General features: G+C 53.8%; 1 protein-coding gene and 2 non-coding genes across 14 annotated transcripts, besides 11 other annotated features; 2 read left to right on the plus strand and 1 right to left on the minus strand.

Annotated features, from left to right (window-relative positions):
• Nucleotides 3,070–3,229: a silencer, noted in NCBI's record as "silent region_10787". NCBI's record gives its function as "represses an Ori minimal core promoter by ATAC-STARR-seq in GM12878 lymphoblastoid cells {active_cell/tissue: GM12878}" and the evidence as "EXISTENCE:reporter gene assay evidence [ECO:0000049][PMID:35858748]".
• GIPR (gastric inhibitory polypeptide receptor) lies at nt 3,185–18,686 on the plus strand. Of its 12 annotated transcripts, none has more exons than XM_047438600.1 (14): nt 3,185–3,262; nt 4,279–4,556; nt 5,599–5,698; nt 6,249–6,356; nt 7,815–7,918; nt 9,038–9,141; nt 9,646–9,790; nt 11,913–12,072; nt 12,287–12,347; nt 12,674–12,743; nt 12,870–12,958; nt 13,052–13,190; nt 16,568–16,609; nt 16,693–18,686. In XM_047438600.1, the coding sequence occupies exons 2-14, from the start codon at nt 4,485–4,487 to the stop codon at nt 16,897–16,899; spliced, it is 1,401 nt and encodes a 466-aa protein (XP_047294556.1). In that variant the 5' UTR covers nt 3,185–3,262; nt 4,279–4,484; the 3' UTR covers nt 16,900–18,686. The 12 variants fall into 12 exon arrangements, with proteins under 12 accessions (XP_047294556.1, XP_011525012.1, NP_000155.1 ...); XM_011526710.3 differs by having other exon boundaries at nt 4,279–4,359; nt 4,441–4,556; nt 12,674–12,958; NM_000164.4 differs by having other exon boundaries at nt 4,441–4,556.
• Nucleotides 3,610–3,889: an enhancer, noted in NCBI's record as "active region_14810". NCBI's record gives its function as "activates an Ori minimal core promoter by ATAC-STARR-seq in GM12878 lymphoblastoid cells {active_cell/tissue: GM12878}" and the evidence as "EXISTENCE:reporter gene assay evidence [ECO:0000049][PMID:35858748]".
• Nucleotides 5,302–5,820: an enhancer, noted in NCBI's record as "H3K4me1 hESC enhancer chr19:46173596-46174114 (GRCh37/hg19 assembly coordinates)". NCBI's record gives its function as "activates a minimal SCP1, AML or CMV promoter by ChIP-STARR-seq in naive H9 embryonic stem cells {active_cell/tissue: H9 hESC(naive)}" and the evidence as "EXISTENCE:reporter gene assay evidence [ECO:0000049][PMID:30033119]".
• Nucleotides 5,302–5,838: a biological region, named in NCBI's record as "H3K4me1 hESC enhancer GRCh37_chr19:46173596-46174114".
• Nucleotides 5,659–5,838: a silencer, noted in NCBI's record as "silent region_10788". NCBI's record gives its function as "represses an Ori minimal core promoter by ATAC-STARR-seq in GM12878 lymphoblastoid cells {active_cell/tissue: GM12878}" and the evidence as "EXISTENCE:reporter gene assay evidence [ECO:0000049][PMID:35858748]".
• Nucleotides 5,821–6,339: an enhancer, noted in NCBI's record as "H3K4me1 hESC enhancer chr19:46174115-46174633 (GRCh37/hg19 assembly coordinates)". NCBI's record gives its function as "activates a minimal SCP1, AML or CMV promoter by ChIP-STARR-seq in naive H9 embryonic stem cells {active_cell/tissue: H9 hESC(naive)}" and the evidence as "EXISTENCE:reporter gene assay evidence [ECO:0000049][PMID:30033119]".
• Nucleotides 5,869–5,918: a silencer, noted in NCBI's record as "silent region_10789". NCBI's record gives its function as "represses an Ori minimal core promoter by ATAC-STARR-seq in GM12878 lymphoblastoid cells {active_cell/tissue: GM12878}" and the evidence as "EXISTENCE:reporter gene assay evidence [ECO:0000049][PMID:35858748]".
• On the plus strand, nt 9,892–9,988 carry MIR642A (microRNA 642a). Its single transcript, NR_030372.1, has one exon. It is a non-coding gene; the product is annotated as a microRNA 642a (primary transcript).
• On the minus strand, nt 9,896–9,972 carry MIR642B (microRNA 642b). Its single transcript, NR_037512.1, has one exon. It is a non-coding gene; the product is annotated as a microRNA 642b (primary transcript).
• Nucleotides 12,025–12,124: a silencer, noted in NCBI's record as "silent region_10790". NCBI's record gives its function as "represses an Ori minimal core promoter by ATAC-STARR-seq in GM12878 lymphoblastoid cells {active_cell/tissue: GM12878}" and the evidence as "EXISTENCE:reporter gene assay evidence [ECO:0000049][PMID:35858748]".
• Nucleotides 12,155–12,414: a silencer, noted in NCBI's record as "silent region_10791". NCBI's record gives its function as "represses an Ori minimal core promoter by ATAC-STARR-seq in GM12878 lymphoblastoid cells {active_cell/tissue: GM12878}" and the evidence as "EXISTENCE:reporter gene assay evidence [ECO:0000049][PMID:35858748]".
• Nucleotides 16,316–16,375: an enhancer, noted in NCBI's record as "active region_14811". NCBI's record gives its function as "activates an Ori minimal core promoter by ATAC-STARR-seq in GM12878 lymphoblastoid cells {active_cell/tissue: GM12878}" and the evidence as "EXISTENCE:reporter gene assay evidence [ECO:0000049][PMID:35858748]".
• Nucleotides 16,546–16,935: a silencer, noted in NCBI's record as "silent region_10792". NCBI's record gives its function as "represses an Ori minimal core promoter by ATAC-STARR-seq in GM12878 lymphoblastoid cells {active_cell/tissue: GM12878}" and the evidence as "EXISTENCE:reporter gene assay evidence [ECO:0000049][PMID:35858748]".
• Nucleotides 18,687–21,475: the final 2,789 nt, after the last annotated feature.

Consider the following 21,475-nt stretch of genomic DNA (forward strand, 5'->3'; position numbering starts at 1 on the left):
TGACATTGTGTGTGACTTTCAGCTTGTGTCATAAAAAGACTGTATAATAAGACATTAAAAAAAAAAAAGGCCAGGCGCGGTGGCTCATGCCTGTAATCCCAGCACTTTGGGAGGCCGAGACGGGTGGATCACGAGATCAGGAGATCGAGACCATCCTGGCTAACACGGTGAAACCCCGTCTCTACTAAAAATACAAAAAATTAGCCGGGCATGGTGGCGGGCACCTGTACTCCCAGCTACTCGGGAGGCTGAAGCAGGAGAATGGCGTGAACCTGGGAGGCGAGGCTTGCAGTGAGCTGAGATCACGCCACTGCACTCCAGCCTGAGTGACACAGCAAGACTCTGTCTCAAAAAAAAAAAAGAGTCGGGCACAGTGGCTCATGCCTGTGATTCCAGCACTTTGGGAGGCTGAGGCAGGCAGATCACCTGAAGTCAGGAATTTGAGACCAGCCTGGCCAACATAGTGAAACCCCATCTCTTCTAAAAAAAAAAAAAAAAAAAAAAGCCAGCCACAGTGGCTCACGCCTGTAATCCCAGCACTTTGGGAGACTGAGGCGGGAGGATCACGAGGTCAGGAGTTCAAGACCAGCCTGGCCAACATGGTGAAAACTTGTCTCTACTAAAAATACAAAAATTAGCTGGGCATGGTGGCGCGTGCCTGTAATCCCAGCTACCCGGGAGGCTGAGGCAGGATAATTGCTTGAACCAGGACCCGGGAGGTGGAGATTGCAGTGAGCCAAGATCACGCCACTGTACTCCAGCCTGGGCTACAGAGGGAGACTCGGCCAAAAAAAAAAAAAAAATTATTAGCCGGGCATGGTTGCGGGCGCCTGTAATCCCAGCTACTTGGGAGGCTAAGACAGGAGAACTGCTTGAACCTGGGAAGCAGAGGTTCCAGTGAGCTGAGATCGTGCCACTGCACTCCAGCCTGGGCGACAGAGTGAGACTCCATCCCAAGAAAGAAAGAGAGAAAGGGAGAAAGGGAGGAAGGGAGGGGGGAGGGGAGAGGGGAGAGGGGAGAGGAAAAGGAAAGGAAAGTCCTTTGCAGCAACACAGATGCAGCTGGAGGCCAGTATCCTAAGTGAATTAACAAAGGAACAGAAATCCAAACACCAGATGCTCTTACTTATAAGTGGGAGCTGAGCACTGGGTACACATGGACACCAACATGCGAACAACAGACACTGGGGACTCCTAGAGGGGGCAGGGAAGGAGACAAGGGTTAAAAAACTACCCGTTGGGTGCCATGCTCACTACCTGGATGATGGGATCATTTATACCCCCAACCTCCGCATCGTGCAATACACCCCCGTGACAAACCTGCACATGTGCCCCCTGAATCTAAAATAAAAGTTAAGGCCAGGCGCGGTGGTTCATACCTGTAATCCCAGCACTTTGGGAGGCCAAGGCGGGAGGATCACTTGAGGCCAGGAGTTGGAGAACAATATGGCCAACATGGTGAAACCTCATCTCTACTAAAAATATAAAAATCAGCCAGGCGTGGTGGCATACACCTGTAGTCCCAGCTACTCTGGTGGTTGAGGCATGAGAATCGCCTGAACCCAAGAGGCAGAGGTTGCCAAGTTGGCGCCACTGCACTCCAGCCTGGGTGACAGAGTGAGACCCTGTCTAGAAAAAATAATAAATAAAATGAATTAAAATAAATGAATAAATAAATAAATAAAAGTTGAGGCTGGGTGTGATGGCACATCCCTGTAGTCCCAGCACTTTGGGAGGCCGAGGCAGGAGGATTGCTTGAGGCCAAGAGTTGGAGACCAGCATGGCCAACATGGTGAAACCCCATCTCTACTAAAAATACAAAAATTTTAGCTGGGTGTGGTGGCACACACCTGTAGTCCCAGCTACTCGGGAGGCTGAGGCAGGAGAATCTCCTGAACCCTGGAGGCGGAGGTTGAAGTGAGCCAAGATGGCGCCACTGCACTCCATCCTGGGTGACAGAGTGAGACCCTGTCTCAAAAAAAAAAAAGTTGAAATTATTTTTTAATAAAATGGTGGGGCATGGTGGCTCATGCCCATAGTCCCAGCTAGTCAAGAGGCTGAGTTAAGAGGATCCCTTGAGCCCAGGAAGTGGAGGCTGCAGTGAGCTATAATTGTTCCAGTGCACTCCACTCTCATAAATAAATAAATAAATAAAATGTAAAAAGGATTGTATGGGCCGGGTGTGGTGGCTGTCGCCTGTAATCCCACCACTTTGGAAGGCCAAGACATGTGGAACACCTGAGGTCAGGAGTTTGAGACCAGCCTGGGCAACATGGTGAAACACCGTCTCTACTAAAAATACAAAAATTAGTCGGTTGTGGTGGTGTGTGCCTGGAATCCCAGCTACTTGGGAGGCTGCGGTGGGAGAATTGCTTGAACCCAGGAGGCGGAGGTTGCAGTGAGCTGAGATCATGCTTCTGTACTCCAGCCTCAGCAACAGAGGAAGACTCTGTCTCAAAAAAAAAAAATTCTATGTCTGCGAGTAACCACACAACTGCATACTGCGTATATTTATTTCATGACAATCCTTCCTTGAACCCCTGCTCTTAACGATTTTGGGGACCCAGTGGTGACCCAGATGTCCTGGCTCTACCCTCCTGGGCCACACAGGCTAGCAGGGCAACAGTGTTTGTGATGAAACCCGGTGATTGCGTGAATGTGTGGGTGATTGACAGTGTTGTTGGAACTGTGAGACACTGTGAGCGTTACTGTGTGTGTGCAGGAGTCCATAGCCCTGGGTACATGACTGTGTGTCACAGTGGATGACTGTCCACCTGTGAGTGAGAGACTGTGGCTGTCTGGGTGTGACCATGGGACTGTATGGGTGTGACTGAATGTGTGACTGTGTGAGTAACAGCTTGTGAGGTTCTGTGACTGTGCCTTTCCATGGCTCAGCCTATGGGATTGTGTGTGACACTGCATGTTTGATTGAGTGACTGAGGCTCTGGGAATGAGTGGCGGTGGGGGCGGGTACCTGTGGGTGGGACAGCATGAGAGATTGTACACACTTGGTGCAGGGGTCCTCAGGACGATAAGGACAATTCAGTAACTGCCCTCCCTCATGACCTTGATGACTGCCCCCTGCTCGGCTCTCTGCCCCAGAGCTCCCCGCTTCCGTTCCCTGTCCCGCCTTGGCCCCGCCCCCTCCCATCACCCCGGGCTGCCAGCGCCTGTCACCTCTCCCAGAGCCGAGACAAGGCAGTTGGAGGCAGCGGTGGCAGGGGCTGCAGGAGCAAGTGACCAGGAGCAGGACTGGGGACAGGTGAGGGCTCCCCAATCCCAGCCCATTCTCCCTGCCCCCCCTTGACCTCTCAAGTCTCTGGCACTCTCCCTCTCTGCTTCTCTGCCCTGCCTTTGTCTCTCTGTCTCTGTGCCCACCACCATCTCTGCTCATCTCTGTCTCTTGATGTCTCTGTCTGCGTGTTTCCATCTCTGGTTAGCTGCTAGATAACTTCTCTTTCCCCTGCTCTGTCTCCCTCCACGTCTCTGCCTCTTCTTTGTCTCCTAGCCCACATCTGCGTCTCTTTCTCTGTTTGTTTTTCTCTGGTCTCTGGCTGGGGGTCTCATTCTGTCCCTCCGTCTCTGCGCCTCTCAGTCTTTACATTTCTGTCTCTTGTGTCTGTGACGCCGTTGTCTGTCCTTCTGAGGCTCGACCTGAGATCCTCTCTGCTTCCGTCTTTCTCTACGTGGAGCCGCGGGGGCGCGGGTGAGTGGGTGTCGGGCGTTAGACCGATTTCCAGGCATCTGCACATCTAACCCCGGATCTGTCGCTTCTCTAGTCCCTAAGTATTTGGATGCTGGGAAAGGGTTGTTCCACTTACTCTGGGCTTTATCTACCCCCAGCGGGGAAAGTTTTGTAAGGTCAGGTTCCTATGTGTGCTAGAAAACCCTTTGGGCTTGGAGAGTGGGAGCTCGGATGGGCGTTTCAAGTTCTCCACCAGGCTGTGGGAACTCAGATGGGCGTTTCAAGTACCCCACTAGGGGGTACTGAAAACCTTCAAGTTTTTCAGTTCCCCATAGAAAAGGGGTCTAGGCTGACGGTTTCTACCCCCTCCTCTCCAAGGCGGTCCCCGGGTTCCCAGGAGTCTGTAGGTCCAGACTTCGGTGACACTGACACTTCCGCCCAGCGTAGCTCTAGGGCAACCGCCCGCTCAGCAAACACCCCCCCCTTCCACCTTTGCTGCCCCAACAACAGTCAGGGGAGGCCGGGGAATCACTTAAGGGGCCCCGCCCACCACCGGAGTTCCACCCACTCCGCGTGCCTCTCCCTCCCCCCAGATCATCACGCCTGGGAGTTGCGGGAGCGGGTGCGCTGCCTCGGAGTCCCGCGTGTATACGGCTCCCCAGCCGTCTGCCCCTGTGTGTGAATCCCTGAGGCGGGGTGACGCTGGGGTTGGAGTAGGAGGGCAGAGGTGCTGACCTTGCCCTGGGACCCTCCAGGCCTGATCGCCCCTGCACGAACCAGACCCTTCGCCGCCCTCACGATGACTACCTCTCCGATCCTGCAGCTGCTGCTGCGGCTCTCACTGTGCGGGCTGCTGCTCCAGAGGGCGGAGGTGAGGAAGCGAGGAGCCAGAGGAGCTCCAGGCTTGGAGGGAGGTATGGGGACGGTTTTAGGGCTTCCGTCGTCAGGGCGCTGTCGCTCACGCCTGTAATCCCAGCACTTTGGGAGGCCGAAGCGGGTGGATCACTTGAGGCCAGGAGTTCGAGACCAGCCTGGCCAACATGGTGAAACTCCCTCTCTACTAAAAAAAATACAAAAATTAGCCGGGCGTGGTGGCGGCCGCCTGTAATCCCAGCTACTCGGAAGGCTGAGGCAGGAGAATCGCTTGAGCCCGGGAGGCAGAGGTTGCGGTGAGCCGAGATCGCGCCACTGCACTCTAACTTGGGTGACAGAGTGAGACTCTGTCTCGGGGTGGGGGGGGGAGGCTTCCCTCAGCGCAAAGAGAGTTTCAAGACTGTCCCGCTTGCCCAGATTCAAGTTGTTGGGTGGTGGTTTGTTTGTTTGTTTCGAGACGGAGTCTCACTCTGTCACCCAGGCTGAGATGCAGTGGCATGATCTCGGCTCACTACAACCTCCGTCTCCCGGGTTCAAGCGATTCTCCCGCCTCAGCCTCTCGAGTAGCTGGGACTACAGGCGCACTCCACCATGCCTGGCTAATTTTTGGATTTTTAGTAGAGACGGGGATTTCACCATGTTGGTCAGGCTGGTCTCGAACTCCTGGCCTCAAGTGATCCACCCGCTTCGGCCTCCCAAAGTGCTGGGATTACAGGCGTGAGCCACCGCGCCCGGGCCCAGATTCGAGTTTTGATTATCGTTTCCACTCCCTTTTCTTCCCCCAACAAGTCCTCCTGATAATTTCCAGCCACCCCCTCCCCAATTTTCTTGAAGGTTTTCAGTCTCCCATAGCAACTCCAGTGGGTGGCTTCCAGGCACCCCACCCCAAGACTTGGAACTGGTTTCCAAGCTACCCAAGACTCCCGAACAACACGCAACAGACCCTCAAAGTCTCTCTGGGGCGCTTCTGGGCCACATGGACCTAGCAGCCTGGGAGCGGGGGTCGGTCTGGGGGGGTCCTCCCTTCTTTCTTTTCCTAGACAGGCTCTAAGGGGCAGACGGCGGGGGAGCTGTACCAGCGCTGGGAACGGTACCGCAGGGAGTGCCAGGAGACCTTGGCAGCCGCGGAACCGCCTTCAGGTGTGACCAGGAGGGCTGGGGACGCGGGGAGGACCTGAGGCTGAGAGGGGTGGGCTTGGGATGGGCCTTGGGCTGACGGGCGGGGAAGAAATCTCGGGGCGCTGTGGGCTGGAGAGGCCCGGGGACTGACCTGAGCATGGTGGGAACTGGGGCGGGACCACGGTTCCTGGGGGAGGCCTGGGAGGAAGCTTGAAATGGGAGGAGCCTTGGGCGGGGCCTGCACAGAAATAAACCTTGAAGGGGGCGGGGTTTGGGATGGAGACTGGGAAGGGCCCTTCCGGGTGGGACGATCTGGGGCGGGGACTTGTTTGGTGGGAGGAGCCCAGAGTGGGGCCGGGAGGAGGGGCGGAGCTTTGAGGCTGGTGGGAGGAGCTTGTGGCCGAGCCGGGACGGAACGCCCTCCGAGTGGGCGGGGCTAGAGCCGGGCTTGGTGTGGCCGGCGGAGAAGCACTTGGCCCACTGCGGAGAAGCACTTGGCCCACTGCGCAGTAGCACTTGGCCCACTGCGCAGTAGGTCCACTGGGCACCTGGCCCCCGTGCCCACCCCCAGGCCTCGCCTGTAACGGGTCCTTCGATATGTACGTCTGCTGGGACTATGCTGCACCCAATGCCACTGCCCGTGCGTCCTGCCCCTGGTACCTGCCCTGGCACCACCATGGTGAGGTGCTCCCTGGGCCCGGAGCCCTCCCCAGACACAAACAACTGCTAACCTTTGCCCCCAGACACCTACATCCGAGTCCCACAGCTCACCTGCACCCCTCTCCTGCTCCTCTTTGCCCCCTACTCCTTTCCGGCAGGCTGGGTTTCTCCTGTCTGTCCAACCCTGCCTATCTCACATAACGCAGCTTCTCTGTCTCCGTATCTCTTTCTATTTATTTATTTGGAGACGGAGTCTCGCTCTATCGCCCAGGCTGGAGTGCAGTGGGATGAACTCGGCTCACTGCAACTTCCGCCTCCCGGGTTCAAGCGATTCTCCAGCCTCAGCCTCCCGAGAAGCCGGGATTACAGAAGCCGGGATTACAGGCGCGCGCCACCACACCCGGCTTTTTTTTTATATATATATTTTTAGTACAGACAGGGTTTCACCATGTTGGCCAGGCTGGTCTCGAACTCCTAACCTCAAGTGATCCGCCGGCCTTGGCTTCCCAAAGTTCTGGGATTACAGGCATGAGCCACCGCGCCCGGCCACCACAGGATTCTTATTTTGTCTCCTTTTCCTGAGTCTGTCAGTCTCTGGGCATCTTAACCTAACTAGCTATGTCGCCTCAGACACTTTATTTATTTAACCTATTTTTTTCTTTTTGAGACAGAGTCTGGCTCTGTCACCCATGTGGTGGCAGCATCATAGTTCACTGCAGCCTGGGAACTCCTGGGTTGAAGCGATCCTCCCGCCTCAGCCTCCCAAATAGCAGGGACTACAGGCGCACGCTAACACACCCAGCTAATTTTTTTTAAAAAATTGGCAGTGACAGAGTCTTGCCATGTTACCCAGGCTGGTCTTAAACTCCTGGCCTCAAGGGATCCTCTCACCTCAGCCTCCCAAAGCGCTGGGATTACAGGCCTATTTAACTTTTGTTGTTTTTGTTGTTGTTGAGACAGAGTCTCGCTTTGTTGCAAGGCTGGAATGCAGTGGCGTGATCTCGGCTCACTGTAACCTCACCTCCCGGGTTCAAGCGATTCTCCTGCCTCAGCCTCCTGAGTAGCTGGGACTACAGGCGCACGCCACCACACCCAGCTAATTTTTGTATTTTTAGTAGAGACAGGGTTTCACCATGTTGGCCAGGATGGTCTCGATCTCTTGACCTTGTGATCCACCTGTCTTGGCCTCCCAAAGTGCTGGGATTACAGGTGTGAGCCACCACGCCCAGCCTTAACATTTTGTACCTCAATTTTCCCATATGTAGAACTAGGTTAAGGATATTACTAATTCCATGGGCTAGTATGAATATTAAATTAATACAAATAACATGCCATATAAGGGTTTATCATCATCATCATCATCATCATCATCATCACCACTTCGGCTCTCTCCCTCTCTGTTATTGTCTCACAGTTTGTCTTTCTGTATTTATCTCTTTCTCTGTGTGCCTTAATTCCCTCTCTTCTTTCCCCACAGTGGCTGCAGGTTTCGTCCTCCGCCAGTGTGGCAGTGATGGCCAATGGGGACTTTGGAGAGACCATACACAATGTGAGAACCCAGAGAAGAATGAGGCCTTTCTGGTAAGAAGAGGTGAGGGCTTCAGGTTAGGAGTCCAGGGAGAGATGGAAAGGCAGTAGATTCAGGCAGGGCCTGAAACCCCTTGGACTGTTCAGACCTCTGGGTTGTAAGTGAGAGAAACTCAACTCAGACTTGCTTCAAAGAGAGAAAGATGTACTGCCTTCTGTGATGGAAAAGAATAAGATGGCCGGGTGGTGTGGCTCACGCCTGTAATCCCAGCACTTTGGGAGGCCAAGGAGGGTGGATCACTTGAGGTCAGGAGTTTGAGACCAGCCTGGCCAACATGTCAAAACCCCGTCTTTACTAAAAATACAAAAATTAGCTGGGCATGGTGGTATGCACCTGTAGTCCCAGCTACTCAGAGGGCTGAGACATGAGAATTGCTTGAACCCAGGAGGCAGAGGTTGCAGTGAGCCAAGATCGTGCCACTGCACTCCAGCCTGAGTAACAGAGCGAGACTCCATCTCAAAAAAAAAAAAAAAAAAAAAAAAGAATGCTGTAGTTGGGCCAAGGTCAATGGCTCATGCCTATAATTCCAACACTTTGAGAAGATGATTGCTTGAACGCAGGATTTTGAGACCAGCCTGGGTAACATAGTGAAACTCCATCTCTACAAAAAATATAAAAATTTGGCCAGGAGTGGTGGCTCATGCCTGTAATCCCAGCACTTTGGGAGGCCAAGGCGGGCGGATCACGAGGTCAAGAGATTGAGACCATTCTGGCCAACATGGTGAAACCCCGTCTCTACTAAAAATACAAAAATTAGCTGGGCATGGTGGCACGCACCTGTAGTTCCAGCTACTCTGGAGGCTGGGGTGGGAGGATCGCTTGGGCCCTGGGGGGCGAGGCTGCAGGGAACCATGATCCTGCCAGAGCACTCCAGCCTGGGCAACAAAGCAAGACCATGTCTCAAAAAAAAAAAAATCTCTGGTTGGCTGGTCACATGCCTCGTGCCCTGGAGCTGAAGGGTGGAGTCAGCCCTTCTCAAATAAGGGTAAGCAGTTCCCCAAGATAAAATAGGGTATTTGGGCAGAAACAAAGAGCAGAGGTCCTTCCAGTCTCTCTCTGGGCCTGGGGCTTCGAGCCAAGCCTTGTTCCCTTCCCCTTCTTGCCCCGACCAGGACCAAAGGCTCATCTTGGAGCGGTTGCAGGTCATGTACACTGTCGGCTACTCCCTGTCTCTCGCCACACTGCTGCTAGCCCTGCTCATCTTGAGTTTGTTCAGGTGGGACCTTAACCCTGAGTGGTGGCGGCAGAGATGTGAGCTCGGCCTCAGTTTGTCCAGTAAGATGGGGTGGTCTGTTTCCACCAGGTCCAGCTATCCACTGGTGGTTCTATGGGGAGCAGTGGGGGTGGTTAAAGGAGCTCTGTGTGGCCGGGAGCGGTGGCTGATGCCTGTAATCCCAGCTCTTTGGGATGCCAAGGCAGGAGGATCGCTTGAGCCCAGGAGTTTGAGATCAGGCTGGGCAATATAGTGAAACCTTGTCTCTACGACAAATAAAATTAGCTAGGCATACTGGTGGTGCACCTGTGGTACCAGCTATAGGGGGGCGCTGAGACAGGAGGATTGCTTGAGCTCAGGAGGTTGAGGCTGCAGTGAGCCCTGATTGTGTCACTGCATTCTAGCCTGGGTGACAGAGTGAGACCCTGTTTAAAAAAAAAAATAGAACTCTGTGTGGCTGAGGACAGCTCTCCAGGGGCCCCCACACTGCCTTCCAAATTCCCCTAGGCGGCTACATTGCACTAGAAACTATATCCACATCAACCTGTTCACGTCTTTCATGCTGCGAGCTGCGGCCATTCTCAGCCGAGACCGTCTGCTACCTCGACCTGGCCCCTACCTTGGGGACCAGGCCCTTGCGCTGTGGAACCAGGTGGGCATCCTCCTTCCGTTCCTCCAAATGGGAATCTTGCTTCTCTGGTGGGACCAGGAAGTTCTCAGTCCATTTCCTATCTCCTACACTCTCCACAGTTTATCTGAGTTGGGAGGGTCCCTCTCCAAATGTGTCTTGGGGTGGGGGATCAAGACACATTTGGAGAGGGAACCTCCCAACTCGGCCTCTGCCATCATTTAACTCTCCCAGCCTATCACTCCCATACTGGAATTTTCCGTTCCTCTCCCTCATTATTTCACCCATCATTGAACTTTTTCACCAATGAGAGAATCCACCTGCTGGCGGTGAGGCATGGCAGGATACGAGAAAGTAAGTGGGGGTGGGGATGTGGCAGGTGCCAGTTTGTTACTAGGAGACAGGGTGGGAGAGACTAGAGTCTGGGAGCAGACGTGGTAAGAACTAACTTGTTGAAAGTTGGACCATACCAATTGTTAAGAAGCCGCACGCACCCAGGCACAGTGGCTCACATCTGTAATCCCAGCACTTTGGGAGGCCAAGACGGGCAGATCACGAGGCCAGGAGTTCAAGATCAGCCTGGCCAATATGGTGAAACCCTGTCTCTACTAAAAATACAAAAATTAGCTGGGTGTGGTGGCGGACACCTGTAATCCCAGCTACTCAGGAGGCTGAGGCAGAAGAATTGCTTGAACCCAGGAGACAGAGGTTGCAGTGAGCTGAGATTGCGCCACTGCACTCCAGCCTGGGTGACAGAGCAAGACTCCATCGCAAAAAAAAAAAAAAAAAAAAAGCCATAGCGTGGCCCGGCAGTGGCTCATGCCTGTAATCCCAGCACTTTGGGAGGCTGAGGTGGGCAGATCGCTTTTTGCCCAGGAGTTCAAGACCAGCCTGGGTAACATAGCAAAACCCCACCTCTACAAAAACATACAAAAATTAGCCAGGCATGGCGGCCCTCGCCTGTACTCCCAGCTACTTGGGAGGCTGAGATGGTAGGATCACTTGAGTCCATCAGGTCGAGGCTGCAGTGAGCTGTGATGCTGTGATAGTGCCAGTGCAATCTGGCGAAAGATTGAGACCCTGTTTCAAAAAAATAAAATGAAATAAAATAAAATAAGAGGGGCCAGGCACAGTGGCTCATGCCTGTAATCCAAGCACTTTGGGAGGACGAGGAAGGCAGGACACAAGGTCAGGAGTTCAAGACCAGCCTGACCAACATAGTGAAACCCCGTCTCTACTAAAAATACAAAAATTAGCTGGGCATGGGGCACATGCCTGTAGTCCCAGCTACTCAGGAGGCTGAGGTAGGAGAATCACTTGAACCTGGGAGGCAGAGATTGCAGTGAGCCGAGATCGTGCCATTGCGCTCCAGCCTGGGCGACAGAGCAAGGCTCCGTCTAAAAAAAAAAAAAAAAAAAAGAGGAAGCCATAGGGCAGGAGAGTCCATAATGTGGGTACTGGCAGGGAGTTCAGTTCTTAGAAGGAGCTGGGGTGACCAGTGACAGAGGTCACATTTTGGGGATCTAGGGGGGAACTGACGGCAATGATGGAAGATACCAATTATTTTTTGTTTTGTTTTTGTTTGTTTTGTTTCTTTGAGATGGAGTCTCAAAAAAGAAGCTGATTTTTTTTTTTTTTTTTTTTTTTTTGAGACGGAGTCTCCCTCTGTCGCTCAGGCTGGAGTGCAGTGGTGCAATCTCGGCTCACCGCAACCTCCACCTCCCGGGTTCAAGCGATTCTCCTGCATCAGCTTCCCGAGTAGCTGGGATTACAGGCGCCTGCCACCACACCTGGCTAATTTTTGTATTTTTAGCAGAGACAGGGTTTCACCATGTTGGCCAGGCTGGTCACCAACTCCTGACTTCAGGTGATCCGCCCACCTCGGCCTCCTAAAGTGCTGGGATTACAGGCGTGAGCCACCGCGCCCTACCAGATACCAATTGTTAAGGGGTTCAGAGTGGGAGAGTCCATACAGGGAAAGGGAATAGGGTGAGAGAAACCAATCACAGATACCATTCACTGGGGACACAGAGTGGAAGAACCTTTGATGGCAAGAGACGGGGTGGAAGGGCGATCAAAGCTGGGGGAGACTGGGAGACACCCGGGCAGCGCTGACTACCCCTCTACCGGTCTGGCCCCTCCCTAGGCCCTCGCTGCCTGCCGCACGGCCCAGATCGTGACCCAGTACTGCGTGGGTGCCAACTACACGTGGCTGCTGGTGGAGGGCGTCTACCTGCACAGTCTCCTGGTGCTCGTGGGAGGCTCCGAGGAGGGCCACTTCCGCTACTACCTGCTCCTCGGCTGGGGTGAGCTCCGATCCCGTCCCCCGCCCAACCCAGCGCGCCTCTCCTCGGCTCCCCCAACTGCCCTGCTGGTTGGCCTCTGCGGGTCTCCTCCCGTCTCTAGGCTTCTGCCTTCCCCACCCCGACAGAGGAATTCCGCGGGTCTTGGGCCTGGCGGGGCCCGTGAGCGCGCTGACAGCTGCGGCGGGGTGGGGGGGCGGGGTCGGGGTCTGCACAGGGGCCCCCGCGCTTTTCGTCATTCCCTGGGTGATCGTCAGGTACCTGTACGAGAACACGCAGTGAGTTGCAGGGTCTGGGGCGGGGCGTGGGAGGTGGGCGGGGCTTTGAGGGACTGTGGCGGGTTGTGATGGACATGTGGGCAGGGTCGGAAGGCTATTCGGTGCTGGGGATACGTGGGCGGGATCCGAAGTAATGGGGAGCTAGGAAAGGTTGTGTTCCAGGGCAATCGGCAAGGGGAGGGGGTGGGGCCTGGATCGTAATGGGCGGGACCTTAGAGAATGTGTGTGGTCTCAAGTGCGGTGGGCGGGGCCTAGCGAGCAAATGAGCTTGGTGATCGGTGAGTCTAGAGTTTTTCTATCTCTTAGCTCTACTCCGCCTTCCCCAGGTGCTGGGAGCGCAACGAAGTCAAGGCCATTTGGTGGATTATACGGACCCCCATCCTCATGACCATCTTGGTAGGATCGGTCCCGCCTCCACCAGGCCGCCCTCAGGGATTTCCCATTCTGGGAAGTGGGCTGCCACCTCCTCCTGCCCCTTCAGAATGGGATCGCGGCTGGCTCAGCCCTTATCTCTCCCCACAGATTAATTTCCTCATTTTTATCCGCATTCTTGGCATTCTCCTGTCCAAGCTGAGGACACGGCAAATGCGCTGCCGGGATTACCGGCTGAGGTGAGGGCATGCGTTGGGGACCGAGGGGAAGGGGCCGGGTGCGAGATGGGGAACCAGGGCTGCGGGATCACTGCTGCCGCCCTCTCTCCCCAGGCTGGCTCGCTCCACGCTGACGCTGGTGCCCCTGCTGGGTGTCCACGAGGTGGTGTTTGCTCCCGTGACAGAGGAACAGGCCCGGGGCGCCCTGCGCTTCGCCAAGCTCGGCTTTGAGATCTTCCTCAGCTCCTTCCAGGTGCTCAGGCAGGGTGCAGGGGCTCCATCCTTCCACCCAGGGCCTCCTCCCCAGAGGGGCACGAAAGCTACAGTCGTTCTCTGGTGCAGCCACTGAATGGGGTGGGAAGATGGGATTTAGTTCGTTCATTAATTAATTCATTCTTTTTTTTTTTTGAGACGGATTCTCGCCCTGTCGCCCAGGCTGGAGTACAGTGGCGCGATCTCGGTTCATTGCAGCCTCTGACTCCCGGGTTCAAGCGATTCTCCTGCCTCAGCCTCTAGAGTAGCTGGGATTACAGGAATGTGCGACAACACCTGGCTAATTTTGTATTTTTAGTAGAGGCGGGGTTTCACCATGTTGGCCAGGCTGGTCTCCAACTCCTAACCTTGGGTAGTCCACCCGCCTCGGCCTCCCAAAGTGCTGGGATTACAGGCGTGAGCCATGGCGCCCAGCCCGTTCATTCATTCGATACAAAATACTGAGCTAGGACTGTCCTGGGCTGTGGGGAGCAGCAGGGACCAGGACAGGAGATTGGCGGCCCCAGCAGTGCTGCCTGCTAGTGAAGAGTGAGGGCTTCGAAGCTGGACACAGCTGAGGCCAAATTCAGGTTCTGTCACTTTCTAGCTGTTTGCCAGCTGTGTGGCCTTCACCTCAGGGTTGAGGGTAGGGAGAGGTAAGTGAGGTGCCAACGTGCAGAATCTAAGGAAAGATTCATTCCAAAATTGAAGGCCCACCTTACACTTGCTTGGTTTACCTGAGTCCCCAACCTGCTTCACCTCATTCGGCCTGTTTTCTCATCTCTAAAGTGGGGAAAATACTAGTCTCAGTGGACAAGGCTGTTCATTCATTAAATTCAGCAAAAAATTACTGAGCATGTGTATATGCTAAGCACTCCTCCAGGCTTATCACAGGAATACAGCCAAGAACCAAATGGTCCCTACCCTCCAGTGGGAAAGACACACTAAACACACTATAGAAGTAAGGCATACAGCTGGGCGCAGTGGCTCACACCTGTAATCCCAGCATTTTGGGAGGCCGAGGCAGGCGGATCACCTGAGGTCAAGAGTTCAAGACCAGCCTGACCAATATGGTGAAACCCTGTCTCTACTAAAAAAATAGAAAAATTAGCTGGATGTGGTGGCGGCCGCCTGTAATCCCAGCTACTCAGGAGGCTGAGGTCGGAGAATCGATTGAACCCGGGAGGTGGAGGTTGCAGTGAGCCGAGATCACGCCACTGCACTCCAGCCTGGCCACAGAGGGAGATCATGTCTCAAGAAAAAAAAAAAAAAAAAGGAAAGCATATAGAATGTCAGATGGTGAGATGTGCCTAGAGGGAGAATAAAGCAAGAAAAGAGATGAGGAGTGTCCACTGAGGGATGGGGGTTACTGTTTTATTTATTTTTATTTTTTTAGAGATGAGGTCTCCCTCTGTTGTCCAGGCTGGATCCAGTGCAGGGGTGTGATCCTAGCTCACTGCAGCCTTGGACTCCTGGTCCAAAGCAATCCTCCTGCTTCAGCCTCCTAAGTGGCTGGGAGCACAGGAGCAAGCCATCACACTTGACTAATTTTTTTTTTTTTGAGACAGAGTTTCACTCTTGTTGCCCAGGCTGCAGTGCAATGGTGCCATCTCAGCTCACTGAAACCTCTACTTCCCAGATTCGAGCGATTCTCTTGCCTCAGCCTCCCAAGTAGCTGGGATTACAGGTGCCCACTACCACGCCTGGCTAAGTTTTGTATTTTTAGTAGAGATGGGGTTTCAACATGTTGGCCAGACTGGTCTCGAACTCCTGACCTCAGGTGATCCGCCCGCTTCAGCCTCCCAAAGCGCCGGGATTACAGGTGTGAGCCACCGCGCCTGGCCAAGATCCTCATCTCTACCAAAAATAAAAAATTAGCTGCCGGGCGCGGTGCCTCATGTCTGTAATCTCAGCACTTTGGAGGCCAAGGAGGCCAGTCCAGCGTGACCAACATGGAGAAACCCTGTCTCTACTTAAAATACAAAAATTAGCGAGGCTAGGTGGCACGTGCCTGTAATCCCAGCTATTCAGGAGGCTGAGGCAGGAACATCGCTTGAACCTGGGAGGCAGAGGTTGCACTGAGCTGAGATTGTGCCACTGCACTCCAGCCTGGGAAACAGAACAAGGCCCTGTCTCAAAAACAAAAAAAAAATTAACTTGGTGTGGTGGTGCATGCCTGTAGTCTTAGCCACTCTGGAGGCTGAAGTGGGAGGATCCCTCTAGCTCAGGAGTTGAGGTTGAAGTGATGAAGTGAGCCATGATCACTCCACTGCACTCCAGCCTGGGTGACAGAGCCAGACCCTGTCTCAAAAAACAAAAACAGGCTGGGTGCGTTGGCTCACGTCTGTAATCCTAGCACTTTGGGAGGCTGAGGCGGGCGTATTGCCTGAGCTCAGGAGTTTGAGACAGCCTGGGCAACATGGCAAAAATTCTGTCTCTACTAAAAACACAAAAAATTAGCTAGGCGTGGGGGCGCATGCCTGTAATCCCAGGTACTTGGGAGGCTGATTCAGGAGAATCGCTTGAACCTGGGAGGCCAAGTTTGCAGTGAGCTGAGATCGTGCCACTGCACTCCAGCCTGGGCAACAGAGCAAGACTCTGTCTCCCTGTCTCCAAAAAAAAAAAAAAAAAAAGCAAAAAACAAAACGGCAACACAATCACCCTAAATTTTCACAACTACTACTATATTACTGCTCCATTTTCCAGATGAAGAAACTGAGGCACAGTGTGGTTAAGCAGCTTGCCCAAATGGGAAAGAAAGTGGAAAGGTGGTTTTTGAGTCCAGGGAGCCCACCTCCAGGGTCCACAGTTCTTAACCCCCAGCCAGCAGTGCTCAGCTAACCTTCTGGAGCAAGCAGTGGGGTTGGTGTGGGGGAAGCCAGGAACCAGTGAAAAGATGACCCTAATAGTTTAGGACCACGGTGGCGGTAGCTGAGGTGCTTCAGGGCCTGGCAAGGGCGCGAGCTTATTAAGAGAACAGTTACAAAGGCTAGGCGCGGTGGCTCATGCCTGTAATCTCAGCACTTTGAGAGGCTGAGATGGGTGGATCTCCAGAGGTCAGGAGTTCGAGACCAGTCTGGACAACAGGATGAAACCCCGTCTCTACTAAAAATACAAAAATTAGCTGGGCGTGGTGGAGGGCGCCTGTAATCCCAGCTACTCAGGAGGCTGAAGCAGGATAATCACTTGAACCCGGGAGGTAGAGGTTGCCGTTTGCCGAGATCGTGCCACTGCACTCCCGCCTGGGCAACAAGAGCAATATTCCGACTCTTAAAAACAAACAAACAAACAAACAAACAAAAAACGGGGAGGGAGGCGCGGAGGCGGTTACAGTCCTGCCCCCACCAGCGATGTAACCTCCGCGCCTCCTCTGGGCAGGGCTTCCTGGTCAGCGTCCTCTACTGCTTCATCAACAAGGAGGTAGGCAGAGACCCGGCCGCCGCCCCCGCCCTCTGGCGGCAGCGCGGGGTACGGCGCCGCCTCTGAGCGCCATCGTCTCACAGGTGCAGTCGGAGATCCGCCGTGGCTGGCACCACTGCCGCCTGCGCCGCAGCCTGGGCGAGGAGCAACGCCAGCTCCCGGAGCGCGCCTTCCGGGCCCTGCCCTCCGGCTCCGGCCCGGGCGAGGTCCCCACCAGCCGCGGCTTGTCCTCGGGGACCCTCCCAGGGCCTGGGAATGAGGCCAGCCGGGAGTTGGAAAGTTACTGCTAGGGGGCGGGATCCCCGTGTCTGTTCAGTTAGCATGGATTTATTGAGTGCCAACTGCGTGCCAGGCCCAGTACGGAGGACGCTGGGGAAATGGTGAAGGAAACAGAAAAAAGGTCCCTGCCCTTCTGGAGATGACAACTGAGTGGGGAAAACAGACCGTGAACACAAAACATCAAGTTCCACACACGCTATGGAATGGTTATGAAGGGAAGCGAGAAGGGGGCCTAGGGTGGTCTGGGAGGCGTCTCCAAGGAGGTGACACTTAAGCCATCCCCGAAAGAGGTGAAAGAGATCACTTTGGGGAGAGCTGGAGAACAGGATTCTAGGCGGAAGCGATAGCATAGGCAAAGGCCCTTGGGCAGGAAGGCGCTCAGCCTTGGCTGGAGTAGAATTAAGTCAGAGCCAACAGGTGGGGAGAGACAGAGAAGTGGGCAGGGGCACCCAAGTTGGGATTTCATTTCAGGTGCATTGGAGATTCTTAGGAGTGTCTCTTGGGGGTAATATTTTATTTTTTAAAAAATGAGGATGTCACTCTTACCCAGGTTGGTCTTGAACTCCTGGGCTCAAGCAATCCTCCCACCACGGGTCTCTCAAAGTGCTGGGATTACAGGCGTGAGCCACCGCACCCGGCTTTTTTTTTTTTTTTTAAACGGAGTCTCACTCTGTCACCCAGGCTGGAGTGCAGTGGTGCAATTTCAGCTCACTGCACCCTCCACCTCCCGAGTTCAAGCCTCCCGGGTAGCTGGGATTACAGGCACCGCCACCATGCCTGGCTAATTTTTGCATTTTCAGTAGAGATAGGGTTTCTCCATGTTGGCCAGGCTGGTCTCGAACTCCTGACCTCAAGTGATCCACCCACCTCAGCCTCCCAAAGTGCTGGGATTACAGGCATAAGCCACCATGCCCGGCCCAAATGGGCTAATGTTTTAAACAGATCCTTCTTGTCTGCCCTGTAGGAGGACAAATTATCAGGGGCAGGGGTGGAAGCTGGAGCCCAGAAAGGAGGGGACTGCAGGTGGGAAGTGATGGTGGCTGGACCAGGATGGAGGCCACTGAGGGGTATGAAGCAGTCGGATTTGAAGCTGTTTAAAAGGTGGAGGTGAGAGGATTTCATGAAGGAGCACATGAGGACACAGCAGCAGAGAGGACTCCTTGGCTTTGGATGGTGGAGAGACTAAAGATAGAGAGATTGGGTTCGGGTAGGGGGAGAACCACGTGTGCTCTTTGGAAAGGTTAGGCTGGCAGTGTTTGTAGGACATGACAGGACACTGAGTGTAAGGGTCTGGAGCTCTCAGGAGAGGGGCGAGCTGGAGATAGTAATGTGAGAGGCACTGGGTCCTGAGAGGGTGATTTGGTGTGGACCGGAGCACAGGTGAGGCAAGGCAGGCCTCGCAGCTGAAACTTTATATCCAGAGCAGCCAGGGCCACTGCTGGCTGCGGAGTGAGGACGCATATCCCCACTGTCCTTAGATGGGTGGCCCCTGGAACCTGGGAGAATGAGGGGGCATGCTGACAGTCTCATTGTGGCTGGACCACCTGTACATACACCCACAAGACCCTCACCCCTAAATCCTCCCCCTACACATATGCACACTTAAGTTACCGTATGGGTGTTGTCGAGCATTTTCCCTGGGGTCTGTGGCTCCCTGGACCGACATGCCCCAAAGCTGAACTCAGCCTTTTCAAGCTTGCGGCCCTGCTGCCCAATTCCCCTACACCCTGCCTTGTGGGTTCTCGCGGGGTGGGGGCCTTAGGGCAAGGCTCTTGTAAATAAAGTATAAGAAACAGTTGCTTTTTTTCTTTCTTGGGTAGAAGCATCTTCTTGGCAGTGTCACAAAGGGAAATGACCGAGGCAGGCTGCCTGGTGGAGTAGGGGCCCGTGGTGGCTTTACTCAAATTTATCCATGTGTTGCTACAAGAAAACGGGACACCTGCTGCCACTGTCCCTCCTAAGAGAGTCCCCAAGTGGCCATGTTACATGTGATCTGTGACATATACGATCAGATGTTACCTGCATCCTAGGGTCGCCTGGCATGCCCATGAGTGACGCTTAGGACCGTGCCTGGTGCTGGTGTGTGGACAATGCTGGGCCAGTTTGCCCAGGGCTATGCCTGCCACCTCTACTTTTATTTCACCCTCTGGAGGCGGACGCATTGGAAAGCATGTGGGGCAGGAGGTGAGGAAGGAAATTCAGACAAGCTGAGCAGAGCGGCCAGGACTGGAATCTTGGGTGCCAACCCGCAAGGTGGGGAAACTGATTTCCATTTCCCAGTAATTACAGGTCAATACCACACCTGAGAAGGCAGGCAGGAATGGAACCCAGACTGACTCCAGGGCTGTGTTGCTTCCTGTATCAGAACCAAACCCCGGGTGACCTCCTGTTGCATGCCCCTTGTCCCAACTTTATAGATTAGGACACTGCAGCTCCATCTTGCTACCCAAGAGTTAAGACTTTTTCTGGAGGACCTGGCTCCCCGGGTTTGGAAATAGTACCATTGTTTCCTAACTGGGTGACCCCGAGCAAGTTGCTTACCCTCTCTTGGCTTCAACGATCTCATCTATAAAATGGGATCACTTAGGTCGGGCGTGGTGGCTCACGCCTGTAATCCCAGCACTTTGGGAGGCCGAGGCGGGTGGATCACAAGATCAGGAGTTTGAGACTAGCCTGGCCAACATGGTGAAATCCTGTCTCTACTAAAAATACAAAAATTAGCTGGGCGTGGTGGCGGGCGCCTGTAATCCCAGCTACTTGGGAGGCTGAGGAAGAACTGTTTGAACCCGGGAGGTGGAGGTTGCAGTGAGCAGAGATGGTGCCACTGCACTCCAGCCTGTGGGCAACAGGGTGAGACTCCTTCTCAAAAAAAAAAAAAAAAAAAATAGCTCTAGTATCCACCCCACAGATGGTTGTTTCCAATTAGATGTAGTAAATGCACGCCTTTATAACCCCATAACCCATTGCCTTCTGTGTATCAGGCCTCTCTCTGCTGCAGGGTCCCAGCTCTGCCACAATGCTCACAGTGTATCTCAGGCTGTGCCTTTCTTTTTTTTGTTTTCTTTTTCTTTTTTTTTTTTTTGAGACGGAGTCTCACTCTGTTGCCAGGCTGGAGTGCAGTGGTGCGATCTCGGCTCACTGCAACCTTCACCTCCCAGGTTCAAGCGATTCTCCCGCCTCAGCCTTCCGAGTAGCTGTGACTACAGGCGTGCACCACCACACCCAGCTAATGTTTGTATTTTTAGTAGAGACACAGTTTCACCATGTTAGCCAGGATGGTCTTGATCTCTTGATCTCGTGATCCGCCTGTCTTGGCCTCCCAAAGTGTTGGGATTACAGGGCGTGAGGCACCACGCCCGGCCCCAGGCTGTGCCTTTCACAGCTCAGAGCAGGGCACACATCTCACTGAGTGTGCACTGACCTCAGGCCTGCAAACTCTTGCAACTTTCAGGTGTTTGCCTATATCCAGAGGACAGAGACATAGGCAGAGACAAAGATATGGGGGGAGGGCCCAACACAGTGGCTCACACCTGTAATTCCAGCATTTTGGGAGGCCGAGGCAGGAGGATCACTTGAGCCCAGGAGTTCAAGATCAGCCTGGGTAACACAGTGAAATCCCATCTCTACAAAAAGCCGGCAGGAGGATCAATTGAGCCTGGGCAGTCAAGGCTACAGTGAGCCATGATGGTGCTGCTGCACTCCAGCTTGGCAGACAGAATGACACCCTGTCTCAAAAAAAAAAAAAAACAACAAAAAACAAAGATATGGGGAGCACACGATGTGTGTGTCAGAGCAACACAGGGAATTTCCTTAATCCCCCCAGTATATACCACCTCCCTTTCCCACCTCCATTTATCTCCCCAAATTTGTCAGAGAATTCCTCTCAAGGGTAATGCAGTTGAATCTGAGGGGCAGCAGAGCTCAGGGGTGAAGCCACAGGCTCTGGAGGTGAGTTTAAATCACAGCACCACCACTTCCTGGCTGGTTGTCCCCGCAAAGTGACATTGCCTCTCTGTGTCTCAGTTCCTTCTTCTGGAAAAGGGGGATAATAAATTAACAGGCCCGCGCCAGAGCTGTTGGGAGGATGTTTGAAAAGCGCTGAGCCTGGCCTGGCACCTAAACAGCTCAGCAAGTGTTAGCCAGGATCACTAGCAGTAATATTTAGCTACTGACTGCTTTCTTTTCTTTTCTTTCTTCCTTTCTTTCCTTTTTTTTGAGAGGTAGTCTTAGAATCTGTTGCCCAGGCTGGAGTGCAGTGGCGCGATCTCAGCTCAGTGCAACATCCGTCTCTTGGTTCAAGCTATTCTCCTGCTTCAGCCTCCCAGGTAGCTGGGACCGCAGGCGTGCACCACCATGCCTGGCTAATTTTGTATTTTTAGTAGAGACAGGGTTTCACCACGTTGGCCAGGCTGGTCTCAAACTCCTGAGCTCAGGTGATCCACCCGCCTGGCCTCCCAAAGTGCTGGGATTACAGGTGTGAGCCACTGCACCCGGCCCTTTTTTCTGTTTCTTATCTATTTAGTTTAGAGATAGTATCACACTGTCTATAAAACTCACAACCATTCTCCCAGGCTAGTCCTAAACTTC

This window comes from Homo sapiens, chromosome 19, assembly GCF_000001405.40.
Source record: "Homo sapiens chromosome 19, GRCh38.p14 Primary Assembly".
Classification (NCBI taxonomy): Eukaryota; Metazoa; Chordata; class Mammalia; order Primates; family Hominidae; genus Homo; species Homo sapiens.